The 14,519-nt window shown below is 44.8% G+C and overlaps 1 protein-coding gene across 12 annotated transcripts in view; it reads left to right on the top strand.

The window, feature by feature from the left end:
* Nucleotides 1-14,519, top strand: part of TXNDC11 (thioredoxin domain containing 11) — a 63,775-nt gene that overhangs the window by 38,899 nt on the left and 10,357 nt on the right. For 5 of the 12 annotated variants that reach the window (NM_001324022.2, NM_015914.7, XM_011522515.3 and 2 more), the window contains 3 exons: nt 3,395-3,507; nt 5,634-5,834; nt 11,877-12,669. In NM_001324022.2, the coding sequence (NP_001310951.1) occupies nt 3,395-3,507; nt 5,634-5,834; nt 11,877-12,669 (1,107 nt within the window). Of the gene's footprint in view, nt 1-208; nt 290-3,394; nt 3,508-5,633; nt 5,835-11,876; nt 12,670-14,519 lie in introns of all 12 variants that reach the window. The other 7 variants (NR_136673.2, NR_136671.2, NM_001324025.2 and 4 more) reach the window with 4 other exon arrangements.

Raw genomic sequence — 14,519 nt, 5'->3', positions numbered from 1 at the left:
CACCACATCCGGCTAATTCTTGTATTTTTAGTAGAGATGGGGTTTCACTATGTTGGCCAGGCTGGTCTCAAACTCATGACCTCAGGTGATCCACCCGCCTTGGCCTCCCAAAGTGCTGGGATTACAGGCGTGAGCCACCATGCCCAGCCCACTTCTTTACTTCTGATACAAGATATTTCAGGCTTATCTTGTACTTTCTTCACCCCAGCTCTGGAATCAACCTCTTCTCCAAGGGCCCTGGTTTCTTTTACTGGAGAATGGCATTTAGAAACCAAGATCTACGTGCTAGGTATGCTCTTTGGTATTAGGATGTCATTACTTCTAGGTCTTCTCAGTAGATAGAACTAGGAAGTGTATTATACCCACACATGTGCATATATCTGTATTTCTCTATCCATCCCCTCTCTCTCCCTCTGTGTGTGTGTGTGTGTGTGTGTGTGTGTGTGTGTATCAAAAGCCTTAAGTTTATACTCATTCTCTCTGATTTCAATTTAACATCACAGGGTTTATTTTAGCCTTCTCTTATTAATATATAACTTCTTACTGCAACAGTGAGAGTCCTGGCTGTAATTATGTATAATGTACTTACCACAAAGAAGTAAATAAGTTCATAGTTTCAGAATTGCTAACTTATACCTCTTTAAGAAACACATTTACTACCTAGATTTACAGCATTTATGTACAGTTCTTTTTGCCTTTAGTTTTACAGCATCCAGTCAAGATACTGTTTTCCAGTTACTTAGGTTCTTTCTTCCTGTCCCATTCACCATGGTGTTACCCGTTTGCAATAGTTAGGGTTATTTGTACGTGCTGTATTCCACGTTGGGTTTGCCACATCTCGCTTGGTTTTAACTAATTGTTTAATTTTGGAGTGTGTGAAGGGTGTGTGATACATCACTGTGGCCCTAGGAGTCAGATACAAAAAGGCCTACTCAGTGCCAGGCCTCCTCAGCCCTGCCTTCCCGTTTCCAGTCCCCTTTCCCCAGCCTGGCTTATTTGTCCTGTATTTCTTTTGTTTTGTGCCATTTTACACTCATCAGATTTGTATGAAAAATTATTGACTCTGGCAGTAGGGACATACTCACTCCGACCTCATCCTTGTCGGCCACTCCTTACCTGAGGGAGAGAGGACCACACCACTGAAAGATGGGGTCATGGGATAAAACTGGAAACTTTATGGGTTTAACACCTCAATATTTTTATATCTTAGCTACTTGTGTATAATTTGGTAATATTTGATGTTTAACTGTTTTTTAAAAAAAAATTTATTTATTTACTTTGGAGGCAGAGTCTCACTCTGTTGCCCAGGCTAGAGTGCAGTGGCACGATCTTGGGATCTCAGCTCGCGGCAACCTCTGCCTCCTGGGTTCAAGTGATTCTCATGCCTCAGCCTCCCAAGTAGCTGGGATTACAGGTGCCCACCACAACACACCCGGATAATTTTTATATTTTTAGTAGAGACAGGGTTTCACCATGTTGGCCAGGCTGGTCTTGAACTTCTGAGCTCAGGCAATCCACCCACCTCGGCCTCCCAAAGTGCTAGGATTAAGAGCATGAGCCCCTGCGCCTGGCCTGTAGTTTAACTGATGTTTTATTTAGCATGTGCTAATAAAGCAAAAAGGGGATAGGAAAGAATGTACCTTTTTCTGCAGTATCTTATTCACCCTCCTTTAACACTAAATACTTTATAATCACACAAATATTATACTCCATGAAAAAAAATGAAAGCTTCACACATAAGGATAAGGTCCCTGTTGATGTTCGTTCTCCAACATCAAACCACTTTCATTATCCTTTTAGATTCTTTATACATTTCTAAACATATGTGCCTGTAGGGGAAAAAACATATATATATATATATATATACACATACATACATACACACACACACATACACACACATAACTTTTATAAGTGTGAGTTCTTTTTTTTTTTTTGTTAACATCAAAAGTCTACTCTTTCAGCCTCTGTTTGTGGTGTATAGTCCTGCCTCATTGTTTTTAACATTTGCAGAATGTTTCTTGGTGAATATCCTTGCATGTGACTCCTAACAAACATGTGGATGCTTAGCAGTGGAAATCCCAGCTGTGTCCATTCTTGTAGTCGGTACAGCAGCTGCTTTCCTGAGTGGCTGTGCCGTTTTGCCTTTTTCCACCAGCATCACATCAAATACTCATTTCTTTACTTTCATCAATACTTGATGTTTCCTTTGTCTTAAATTCTTGGCAATTTGAGGGTCAAAAGTAGTCTTTTGTTTTAATTTGCTTCCTTTTGGGATAGTGAGGTTGAGTTTATTTCCAGTAATTATTAGCCATGTATACATATTTCCTTTTCTGTGGTTTGTCCATGTTAACAATTTTCCTTGTTGATTTGTATAAGTCTTTATATATGCTAGATTTGTTCATTTAATAAATATTTTTTGACCTCTTAACTATACACCCCGGCACTTCTGTAGGTGCTGGGATACTAGCATGAAACAAAGTCTCTAATTTCACAGAAATTACAGTCAGAAGAGGAAATTGGGCCGAGTGTGGTGGCTCACACCTGTAATTCTGGCACTTTGGGAGGCAGAGGCAGGCACATCACTTGAGGTCAGGAGTTCGAGACTGCCCTGGCCAACATGGTGAAACCCCGTCTCTACTAAAAATACAAAAATTAGCTGGGTGTGGTGGCACACGCCTGTAATTGCAGCTACTTGGGAGGCTGAAGCAGGAGAATTGCTTGAGCCCATGAGACGGAGGTTGTAGTGAGCCGATATCGCACCACTGCACTCCAACCTGGGCCACAGAGCGAGACTCCATCTCAAAAAAAAAAAAAAAAAAAAAAAAAAGAGGACATTGGGCCAAAGGAAATCTAAATAAATGAATGAGATTATGCAAATGTTAATAAGTGCTATAAAAAATAGGGTAATTGGTAAAGGGAGTACCTGAATGGGTCAGGAGCCCAGTTTCCCTTTGTAAACTCTCTCCCCTAAATATTAGCTGTTAGGTGGGGTGGTCAAGGAAGGCTTCTCACAGAAAGTAGGAGCTGAGATGAGTAATGACAAGGAACCAGCCACAAGAAGTGTCCAGACAAAGAGAACAGCATGTGCCTCAGCCTGTCATCAATGGGGACAGGTCAGACCATCATAGGTGGACACAGGGGACTCCTCAGCACAAGTGATTGTCAGAGACGTTAGTCAGAGACATCCTCTCAGAAGCAGGCTTGACATCTGAGGGGCCGAGGTCGGTTTCAGGAGGAGAGGTTCCTCAGCGCCTCTTCCTTCCCTCTCTAGGCTAGGTTACCAGAAGGAGCTTAGCTGCAGGGGTTTGTGCTTCAAGACTTGATCACTGGGTTTTGTGGTTGTTTTAAGGCACAGGCCTTTTCTTTAATAAAGGAAAATTTTCTGTTTCAGATTACCTAGGAACAGTACGATTTGGGGTTATCACAAATAAACATCTTGCGAAACTGGTATCCTTAGTACACTCTGGAAGTGTGTATTTACATAGACATTTCAACACATCACTTGTAAGTATTTTGAAATCACGTTTATGTTAGCGCAGTGGTTCTTAACCTTGTTTAGGTCACAGACTCCTTTGAGAATTGGTTAAAATCTATGGACACTCTCTAGAAAAGCGCATATGATTTTATATATGGATGGAGAGTTCTTACAGCCCCACCCTAGAGCCCAGGCTCCAGGTTAAGAACCCATGCATTAGAGGGCTCTTGAAATTAATGTATAGAAATTCTTTATTTGTATTCTTAGATTTTGGTACAGACTTTAAAGTTTTTCTTCTTGGATAAAATTGCAGAGTTACTCTCTTGAAGAATTGTTACTCTGAGCCCGTGTTTTCAGAAGCTAGGCTTCCACTGAGTGATGTTCTGTGTTTATCTGTTTCTTTTATGATGAGTAGTAATGTGACATGCTTTTCTCCTTAGCTGATGTAATGGATTTTTGAAGTTCTTGTCAAGTCACAGTGAGAAGTTGATGGCTTCTCATCCCAGAGAGCGTCAGTTTTCCATTGTCGCCTTTGTTCCCCGATTTCATTTGCTTTCTGTGGAGCAGCCTGAACTCAGCTGCTTCTGAGCATTGACCTGTGTCCTGCTCAGTCCTATGCGTCTACTCTGTTGCTGCTTCCTAAGTCACATCACTGAGTTGACTTTCCTGAAGTATTCTGTCTCTCTCGCATCACTGTCAGTAACTTACAGGTCATATACAGATCAATTTCCCTGCACCCAGTGTACCCAGCCTTTAAAACCTGCGCCCCCCTTGGCACAATGTCTAAGTCTTGTGCCTTCGGAGGGGCTGTTGGGCCCACTCCAGGGGTGCCCCCTTGCTTGCCAGTCGCCCTGGCTTCTGCATATCTCTCGTAGCCCAGATGCTGTGCTTTACTTCTTGCAGTTTATATTCCAAAAGTCAAATGTATTTTTGTGTTTTCCGAATGGAAATGTTTGAGTGTAGTTTGAGTATGGTTTTTCAAACTCCCATCGTCCCACCTTGACAATCACTGCTGTGGTTGTTTCTCTGCTGCCCACCTACGCTCCTTGTGCCTCTGCCTAAGCTGCTTTGACATCATCTGCTTTTGCTATCTGTCATTTTCCTACATCCTTCATTTTTAGCATGTTACACAGCCTACATATATTTATTTATAGTAAAGGGTACTGAGAAAGAAATTAAAAGTAGATGGGGAAAGAAAGGTAGGACTATGAGATGGAAAAATATATCAGGTTTCTGCTTCGATTTGGTAGTGATTAAGGTTGGTTGGTTTGTGTAGCAGTAGAATTCCTTTTATCAAATGAAATAATACTGGGATACCATTATTTTTAAAAACACAAGCAGTGGTTAGTCTCTGTTATGAGTCAATTTAAATCTTCGTTTTGAGGAGTTTTAAATATCTCATTTTTCAGAACCCTCTGAAGCACCCCTTTGGTAGTTCTGTTTGAAGCCAGTGATTTAAATTGTTAGAATTTCAAAAATAATTTTATGTTCACATACATTGGTTGTTTATAGCAAAACAAAGCAAAAAATCTAGGTGTCTCTTTCATTTATTCGTACACGTAAAATATGATCCGTGGCCTTGTGCAAGTTTAGGTCATTTTTGATTGCTGAAGACATGTGTTGAGTTCCTGCTGTGTGCCTGGTGTTCGTCTAGGCCCGGAGGATACAGGTGAGCAGAACAGACAGCCTGTGCCGCACGGAGGCTCCATGCTGCCCTTGGGGGCAGCATTTGAAGGACCAAGGTCAAAATCTAAATGATCCTTGACTCTGTAGTTTCTGTTCCCTTAGATATGTCTTGGTCCTTTTATGAATACCCAGTGACGTTTAATACCTGTCCTTGGACAGGGTGATAGAGGTTGTTATCGCCACCAGCTGGCAGGGAGAATTATTTGTTGATAGGTGGGTCTGTCTCAAGGCAGAAAGATGAATCACACGATATGGAAGTCACCTCCTGCAACCACTTTTGTTTTTTCAACCACTTGTGAGGAAATGCTGTCTCTGGAGAAGCGGGTGTTAGCTGCACAGTGGGGCCAGGCCCCGCTCCACGCCTGGGTTTTCTCACCCTTAGTGGTGGGGTTGGAACAGCACTGATGTGCCTTGAGCTTGCCCCACCTCACGAGCTCTCCTTTATCCTCTGTGCCTTTGTCCTTCACAGGTCTTCCCCAGGGAGGTCCTGAACTACACAGCTGAGAACATCTGTAAGTGGGCCTTAGAAAACCAGGAGACGCTCTTTCGGTGGCTGCGGCCACACGGAGGCAAGAGTCTCCTGCTGAATAACGAGCTGAAGAAAGGACCAGCGCTGTTTCTGTTCATACCTTTTAATCCCCTGGCCGAAAGTCATCCTTTAATAGACGAGGTAAGAGCTGTGATGTGAAAAGCACCTCATGAGGAGTAGGAAAGCCTCATCTACCTGGCTCCTCTCATCCCACACTCAGTCATTTACTCTGGCAGCTAATGGCTGCCACGAGGGGCAGCTGTGGCTCTGAGCATTGCTCTTTGCCCCTCCATATGGGCAGGAGAGAGCCCGTGTCTAGGACAGGGACTGCCGCAGCCTCTCTGGCCATATTTATTGACAGCTGTTGGTGTCTGGAGTGAGTGGGAAGAGGCAGGGAAGCCACACCGTGCCCTTCTAGAGAAGGACCAAATGCCCTCTTCTGATGTGGCTGCTGTTGAGCTTCCTGTTTAGGGGGTGAAACAGGGAGTGGCAGGAACACAGGCCGAGTTTAGTGTGGCCTAGGAGATGCCATTGTCTTGGGGGTTTGGCCAGACTGCCAGCCCTGGCCATCCTCAGGACAGCAGAGGAGAGCGAGCAGCAGCAGCGATGTTGGGACACCTTGTTTCTCTGAACCTTCCCTGTCGTGCAGAAGCCAGAGTGGTTTTCAGAGGCAGCGCCATCGGAGCCTGCTGTTCCTGCCTGTCTTCGGCTTCATCTGGTGCGCCTGCTCTGGGCGTGAGTTTATTTTCCACACGGAGCATTTGGAGGCGCTCAGAGACAGCAGGCACATTTTGCAGAGCGAGCCTGGAGAGACAGCAGGCACAGTATGCAGAGCGAGCCTGGGGTGGCAAAATTGCATTTACTGAGGTTTTTATTTTTTCACTCCCTCAAGGATCCCTTAATTGGCCAAAACCAATTTCAGACAGCCAGTGTACCACTGGCCAGCTAAGCAGACCTGAGCCCCTCAGCGCTGGCCTGGCCTCCTGCCTGGAGGGACAGGGAGGCAGGACTTCTCGCCCAGGTGGATCCCTCCCTTTGCTGTGCTGGAGTCTTTTTGCTCAAGTTATGATTCCCTCTGGGGAGTATTCTGAATGAATGCTGCTCTTTGGTTTAGAGGAAGAAAGAGGAGAGAAATGAAATAGCTTTGTTTCTTCCCCTCTAATTAGGGAGGACTCAAAGTAATAAAACTATTTCTTTAGAAAATTTTCACTACATGGATATTTTGTGAACTGAGGCACCATTTCAAATGACTAGGCCTTTACTGTATCTAATATTAAGAGCCTTAAAGCTCATTGTAGGAAAGGAAGGTTTTCGGTCAAGGTGGTGTGGCTGTGGTTGTGGATTTGGAGAGTTCTCTCCTGTCTGGTTTGGGTGTGTCAGGGTCCTGGCTGGGTTGTATTTTGTGGCAGGAGCCCACAGCCTCTGCCCAGAGGGTTGTGGTTGGATTTAGGCACCTGGTGGGAAGACTCTTTCTCGCCTGTTGTTTCTGAATGAGTGTCCCCTCCAGCAGTCTGCAAATCCTCCACCTACCAACAGGCCTCCTTTTTATCATGGTTTTGCCTGTGACTCCTTTCTTTGGGGCTCCCATTGTCTCTGTGAGGTGAGTGCGTTCCCTTAACTTCAGCATGTGGGTGAGATGACCGAACACGAGGTGGCATCTCACCGTATTATGAATTACTCAGACAAGCAAAGTGCCTGTCCAGCACATTTCCCTTTTTGTTTCAGGTCAGTTTGGCAAATGTTTACTGAGCACTGTGCTGGGAAGCTCCAGGGGAGAAAGGATAGATGCGACACCATCTTGTCCTGTGGTCTTAGAGGCTTGTCCAGTACAGGGAGTGAAAGCCTGCCTATAATTCAAAGTAGAGGACGATCAGGCCCAGGGTCAGGAGGAACCAGAGGAGGGAGGGTGCCATCTCAGAAAGCGGGGTTCCGGGCAGGGGAGGAGTTAGCAGAGGCTTTGGATGGGTGAAGTATTCGAGACGGACTTGTAGGGGCAGCCAGGATCTTGATGGGTTGAGAAAAACTTACGGGAAGGAGGACCCTGAGCAGAGACATGAGGGACGGGAGTTGCTGCAGGTTTAGGTGTTAGGAAGGAGGCCGGGTTTTGTGGTCTGCAGGAAGGGCTAACTGGGGAGAGATCTTGAAAAAGCCTTTGGAGGAGAGGGCCTTGTGGACTTCTCTGAGGATTTCAAGATTAACCATAGTCATCCAAGTCTTTGTCTTCTCTTTTTTTTTTTTTTGAGTTAGGGTCTTCCTTTGTTGCCCAGGTTGGAGTACAGTGGCATGATCTCGGCTCACTGCCTCCTGAGCTCGGGTGATCCTCCCACCTCAGCCTCCCAAGTAGCTGGGACTACAGGTGCACGCCTCTACGCCTGGCTAATTTTTGTATTTTTCTGTAGAGATGGGGTTTCGCCATGTTACCCAGGCAGGTTTCAAAAGCCCTGGGCTCAAGCGATCGGTCTTCCTTGGCCTCCTAAAGTGTTGGGATTACAGGCATGAGCCACTGCACCTGGCCCATACAAGTCTTACTGACAGTGAAGAGATGCAGCCAGGGCTGTGCGTTATCATTACGAACGTTTTTCTGGCAGGAGGGTTCCAGAAAACTGCGAAGTAGTAAGAACCTGAACTTGGGTGGTAGAGGTGGAGGGTGGAAAGTAGGGTCTATGATCGGGGAAACTGTGACACAGTGACTAGAGATGAAGAAGCCTTTGGGTAAGGTGGGAAGGATGAACGCTGTACTTACGCAAGATGAGCTGTAAATTCATTAGCTTGTTGACCACGAAAGAGTTAGGTGGCTTTACTTTTTCATTACCACCTTAGGCCTAATATTGGGCAGAACTTTGAGGATGCTTGCATTGTTGAGAAGAGAGAGGTCATCTTAGAGTGAGTGGAATAGAGTTGGGGGCATACCAAGCACCAACATTCTGGACAGTTGTGCTGTGGTGCATGTAGGATGCCAGTCAGGAGTGACCATATGGTGGCCGCACCAAGCCCATAGTGGGTAGCTGCTTCTACACACATGCATACCTGCATGTGTACCCACACACACATGCAAAAGTACAGATCCTGACACTGGCGTGAGGCCACTGACACCCTGGTGTCTCTAGAGAGTTCTAGAGAGGTTATAAGACATCACAGTGTGTATTACACAACTTGTTAATCAAAGGAAATGCTTACCTCAGCCAGCAAAGAGTCTTCGTGACTTGTTTCCTATTTTAAAGGTGTTTATTTGAGGCATTCACATCGTCTGAATCTGGTAAGCAAAGGCGTGGTTAGCATGTTCAGGCTCACAGATTTCCCTGATTAAAGAAAATAGAAGGAAACATCTACTGTGCGAACAGTTATTTGCCAAGATTTCCTTAATTATTCACATGAAATAAATGACATCAAGTGATACACAGAATGTGACATGAGTTGTGTTTTCAAAACTGCCTGTTAGGTAAAAGGAATAGAAACATAAATTCCCCTTCATAGGAGAAAAATGATAATGCCTAACTCTTTAAGAGCATTGCTGGCTGGGCGCAGTGGCTCACGCCTGTAATCCCAGCACTTTGGGAGGCTGAGGAGGGTGGATCACATCACCTGAGATCAGGAATTCAAGACCAGCCTGGCCAACATAGTGAAACCTCGTCTCTACTAAAAATATAAAAATTAGCCAGGCATGGTGGTGTGCGCCTGTAGTCTCAGCTACTTGGGAGGCTGAGGCAGGAGAAACGCTTGAACCTGGGAGGCAGAGGTTGCAGTGAGTCAAGATGGTGCCACTGCCCTCTAGCCTGTGCAACTGGAGCAAAACTCCGTCTCAAAAAAAAGCATTGCTGGTCGGGCGCGGTGGCTCATGCTTACAATCCCAGTGGGATTACAGCCCTGGGAGGCCGAGGCAGGTGGATCACCTGAGGTCAGGAGTTCGAGACCAGCCTGGCCAACATGGTGAAATCTCGTCTCTCCTAAAAATGCAAAAAATTAACCAGGCGAAATAAAAATAGAAAAAATTGGCTGGGTGTCGTGATGCATGCCTGTAATCCCAGCTACCTGGGAGGCTAAGGCAGGAGAATTGCTTGAACCTGGAAGTGGGAGGTTGCAGTGAGCTGAGATCATGCCATTGTACTCCGGCCTGGGCAACAAGAGTGAAACTCTGTCTCAAAAAAAAAAAAAAAAAAAAAAAAAAAAAGCATTGCTGTAGACAGAATACTTTCTTCAATTAAAAATATTCTTTACGTGGCTGCTTTGTTTATGAGATACTGAAGCTAAAAGAGATGAAGAAAGATTTTTCAAGGAATTTTCTTCTCTATAATATAATTAATGATCTCCTACTTGGACTTCTGTAAAAGATTACAGTAAATCGTGAAGTCTTATGGAGGTTTTTGCGGGAGTGGGTGGGAGTAGTTGTCTATTACTGCGTCTTTGAATCTAAAACAGTACCAGGATGGGGCCAGAGGGCATCTGGGCTCTTCACGGATTATATAGGCTTGACCTTGTTAGTACTGCATGCTGTCAGAGCCTCATCCAAAAACCACTGAGATGTTTTTGTGCAGGGGAAATAAAATTTCAAGCACTGGCCTATCATCTAAAGTGACTTCTTTTCTTGACCCAGTAGTTTTCTGGTGGGTTATAAAGTGACTTTTTTTATGCCGAGAACTATTGAAACAATTTATTTTTGTGTACAAATATGTATGTTTTGAATTAACTATAAATATTACGTTATAAAACTTTTTTATTTTTATTTTTATAAAACTTGTGTTTTTAAATTGGAAATTACACTCATTGAATTGTTTTACACATGCAGACACACAGACACACACACACACACAGCGAAACAAAATCCTGAGTGACAGCACCCTGTAACTAACTGTGGTGAGATTTGATTCAAGTTGACAGACTCTTCTGTTTTAGAGAGTAAATGCCTTTGGATTATAACTTACATGTCTTTCTCAGGAAACCAGAATGGGAGGTGGGTAACGAAATATTCTTTTTGGAAATGGAAGAATCTTAGAATAAAATATAAATTCAAATTGCCAATACTGGCTTGACGGTAAAGTGGCAAATCTCACCAAGACAGAGGATTGTGTGCATTACCCTGAGCTGCCACTCATTCATCAGGGGTTTACTGAGCATTTGTTATGTGCCTGGCCCTGTGCTAGGCCCCGGGGATGGCAGGATAAATCCAATGTGGCTTCTGCCTGTGAGGTTCTGTAAGTTTGTGGGGAAGAGGGATGTCTCAGCAGAAGCTTGTGAGACTGTAGAAGGGGTCTCAGGGACACTGGAGGTGCAAAAACTAGCTCTTCCTGGAGTGGGAGTAGGACTAGCTTCCCTGAAGCAGCTGCCCTGGTGCTGGGCCTTGGGAACAGATGGAGGAGCCGGTGTCCCCAGCCAGGACTCCGTAAAGGTGTGGCATTGCAGGAGGGCCTGGTCTGTTCTGAAGAGGGTAGGGTGAGACTGGAAAGCCAAACGGGCCAGATTGTGTGGAGGTTTTATCTCATGGGCAGCGTACCATTTGGCCCAGGAGTGCCATGCCTGGGGTTGTATTTTTAAAAATATAGTAACCATCTCCCCCTGCACTCTCATCTACCCTGCTGCGTATTCTTGGTGATACGTTCCAAGACCCCCAATGAATGCCTGAAACCACAGATGGTACTGAACCCTGTATATACTACACACGAATTTCACTTTTCTTCACAATTTCATGGGTAGAAGATTCGTTCTTACCGAAGATCTTAACATCCTTACCTCTTTTTTTTTCCTTATTGAGACTTTTGCCGTTTCACTTAAAGGAAGCATTTTTGGCTTCTCTTTGGCATATCTGAATTGCCAGCATCACTATCCTTACACTTTGGGGGCCCTTCTAATAAATAAAGGGTTACTTGAAGACAAGCACTGTGATACTGAGACAGTTGATCTGATAACTGCGTTGGCTACTAAGTAACAGGCTGGCAGCATCCACAGCATGGACACGCTGGACAAAGGGATGGCTCGCAGTTTTTGTAATGGCAAAAATTTCATCACACTACTCAGAGCGACATGTAGTTTAAAACTTACGACTTGTTTATTTCTGGAATTTTCCATTTAGTATTTTTGAACCGGAGTTGACCATGGATAACTGAAATTACAGAAAGTGAAACGTGGCTAACGGGGTGCTAGTCCCTCAGTCATCCCCAAGCCCTTCACCAACTCTGCCCTGTATTTCAGATCACCGAAGTGGCCTTGGAGTACAACAACTGTCATGGGGACCAGGTGGTGGAGCGTCTCCTTCAGCACCTGCGGCGGGTGGATGCTCCAGTGCTGGAGTCCCTGGCCCTGGAAGTGCCGGCACAGCTGCCAGACCCGCCAACGATCACAGCGTCCCCCTGCTGCAACACTGTGGTGCTGCCCCAGTGGCACTCCTTCTCCAGGACCCACAACGTCTGTGAACTCTGTGTCAACCAGACCTCCGGGGGCATGAAGCCGAGCTCGGTCAGCGTGCCACAGTGCAGCTTTTTTGAAATGGCAGCAGCTCTGGATTCTTTCTACCTCAAGGAGCAGACCTTTTATCATGTGGCATCAGACAGCATAGAATGCAGCAATTTTTTAACTTCCTATAGCCCCTTCAGCTACTACACTGCATGTTGCAGGACCATAAGCAGGGGTGTGTCAGGCTTCATCGACTCTGAACAAGGTGTCTTTGAAGCCCCTACTGTTGCATTTTCTTCCCTTGAGAAGAAATGTGAGGTTGATGCCCCAAGCTCCGTTCCTCACATTGAGGAGAACAGGTATCTCTTTCCAGAAGTGGACATGACTAGCACAAACTTCACAGGCCTGAGCTGCAGAACCAACAAGACTCTCAACATCTACCTTTTGGATTCAAATTTGTTTTGGTTATATGCAGAGAGACTGGGTGCTCCGAGCTCCACTCAGGTGAAAGAATTTGCGGCAATTGTTGACGTGAAAGAAGAATCTCATTACATCTTGGATCCAAAGCAAGCACTGATGAAGCTCACCCTAGGTACTGCAGGCAGTTTATTTCCCCAAGCATTGTACATTTTGCTTGACTTCATATGGGTAAATTTTATTGATGGCTCTCATTACATTTAGTTGTGGGGTGATGTCACCTTCGTAGCTCATTTTAAGTCTTTAGACCACCATCAGTCATAATTTTCAAAGAAGCTAATTTTGTCTATTAAATGGAACAGAAACTTCCTCACTCTGAATTTTGGATAAGTTTGTCATTTAGCCCATGGTGGGGGTAAGAGTCCCACTTTCTAAATTGGCGATTTCTGTCACATGTCTAAGGTAGAACCAGCTGCAGGCAGTGGGGACTTGGGGACTAGAACAGGCAGGGAGGTGGAGAGCTATTCTGGTGGGATGTCCTAGGGGCTGATGAAAGTGAGCCTTGACAGCAGCTTTGTTCTAAAGGAGCTTAAAGAGAAAGCAGTGGCCGGGCGCAGTGGCTCACGCCTGTAATCCCAGCACTTTGGGAGGCCGAGGCGGGTGGATCACGAGGTCAGGAGATCGAGACTATCCTGGCTAATGTGGTGAAACCCCGTCTCTACTAAAAATACAAAAAAAAAAAAAATTAGCCGGGCGCGTTGGCGGGCGCCTGTAGTCCCAGCTACTCGGGAGGCTGAGGCAGGAGAATGTCGTGAACCTGGGAGGCAGAGCTTGCAGTGAGCAGAGATCGCGCCCCTGCACTCCAGCCTGGGCGACAGAGCAAGACTCCGTCTCCAAAAAAAGAGAGCAGTGAAGAAGGAAGTAGAGCCGCCTTGCCTCCCTTTTTGTCTCATAGGCTTAAATGTCTAAGGATCAAGGCCACCAGACCTAATTTGTTCTGCTGCTGTTTCATAATGTACTGAGTAATATTGCTGGGACCTGGGGTACCTACACTGTAACAAGTGTAAAGTGCAAATAAATAAGTGTCAGTCGCAAACCAGCAAAACCCACTTTTTGAGGAGTAAGGCTCCATGATGAGAAAGCACCCAGAGCTTGCCCCTGGGACTTGGCAGCAACATTGGGCTGACCCACCCTGGCCTGTTCCCAGGAATTTGCTGATGCCCTTGACTACACACAATGAAGTGAGAATTCAAAAGCCACGTTAGTTCAGCCTCATTGGAAACGGGAGGGAGGGTCAGTGTATGCCGAATGGAGAAAGGAGGAATTTGGTAGGGAAGGAAACCTTTCATTTCAAGTTTTAAAGTATGAACTCAACAGTAGACTCAGAGCTTCTACATATGAGTCTTTTTAGCCATCCTCTTTCAAATCTAGGTGAAGCTTGTTTCTTACATTAGACACATTTGTGAAAAGGCTTTATGTAAATATTGATTTTTCTATATCAAGTTACATATTATAAATCCAAGAGTTCCTCACTGTGTAAAAGAACCCTGTGACCAGTCACTTTTTGAAGGGCATAAATCTGTCGATATTATAGATTACTCCCAATTCATGTTATCTAAAGTCATTTTGATGTGTTGAGCTTTCTTAAAATGAAACAAGCATTTTTTTTTTAAATGGGAAAGAGACTCCAGAGAAATGGGGTCAGTGTTCCTACAAGCATGTATTTTTGAGGTAGTCTGTATTAGATTTTCCTGAATTCCATTCAGTAATGCTCAAGTGTTTAATGACCTCATAATGTGTTCACTTTGAATTTAAGGGTAATTGAAAGAAGCCTTCTTTAGATTTCTTTCCATCTTCTGTATCTTCTCTGAAATGTTTAGCCTAGCTGTTCTTTGTCCTGCAGTTAGTGACAGAATTCTTAGGGAGCTTGTAAAAAACACCTACTGTGTGTCATTGTTGGTTTAGAGACTTAACTCATAAATCAGCTGTCTCTAGGCTAGTTTCAGAATTTAGGCTTTATTCAGA

This window comes from Homo sapiens, chromosome 16, assembly GCF_000001405.40.
Source record: "Homo sapiens chromosome 16, GRCh38.p14 Primary Assembly".
NCBI classification, from domain to species: domain Eukaryota; kingdom Metazoa; phylum Chordata; class Mammalia; order Primates; family Hominidae; genus Homo; species Homo sapiens.
The sequence above is the reverse complement of the archived record's forward strand: the minus strand, read 5'-3'. Positions and strand labels throughout refer to the sequence as shown.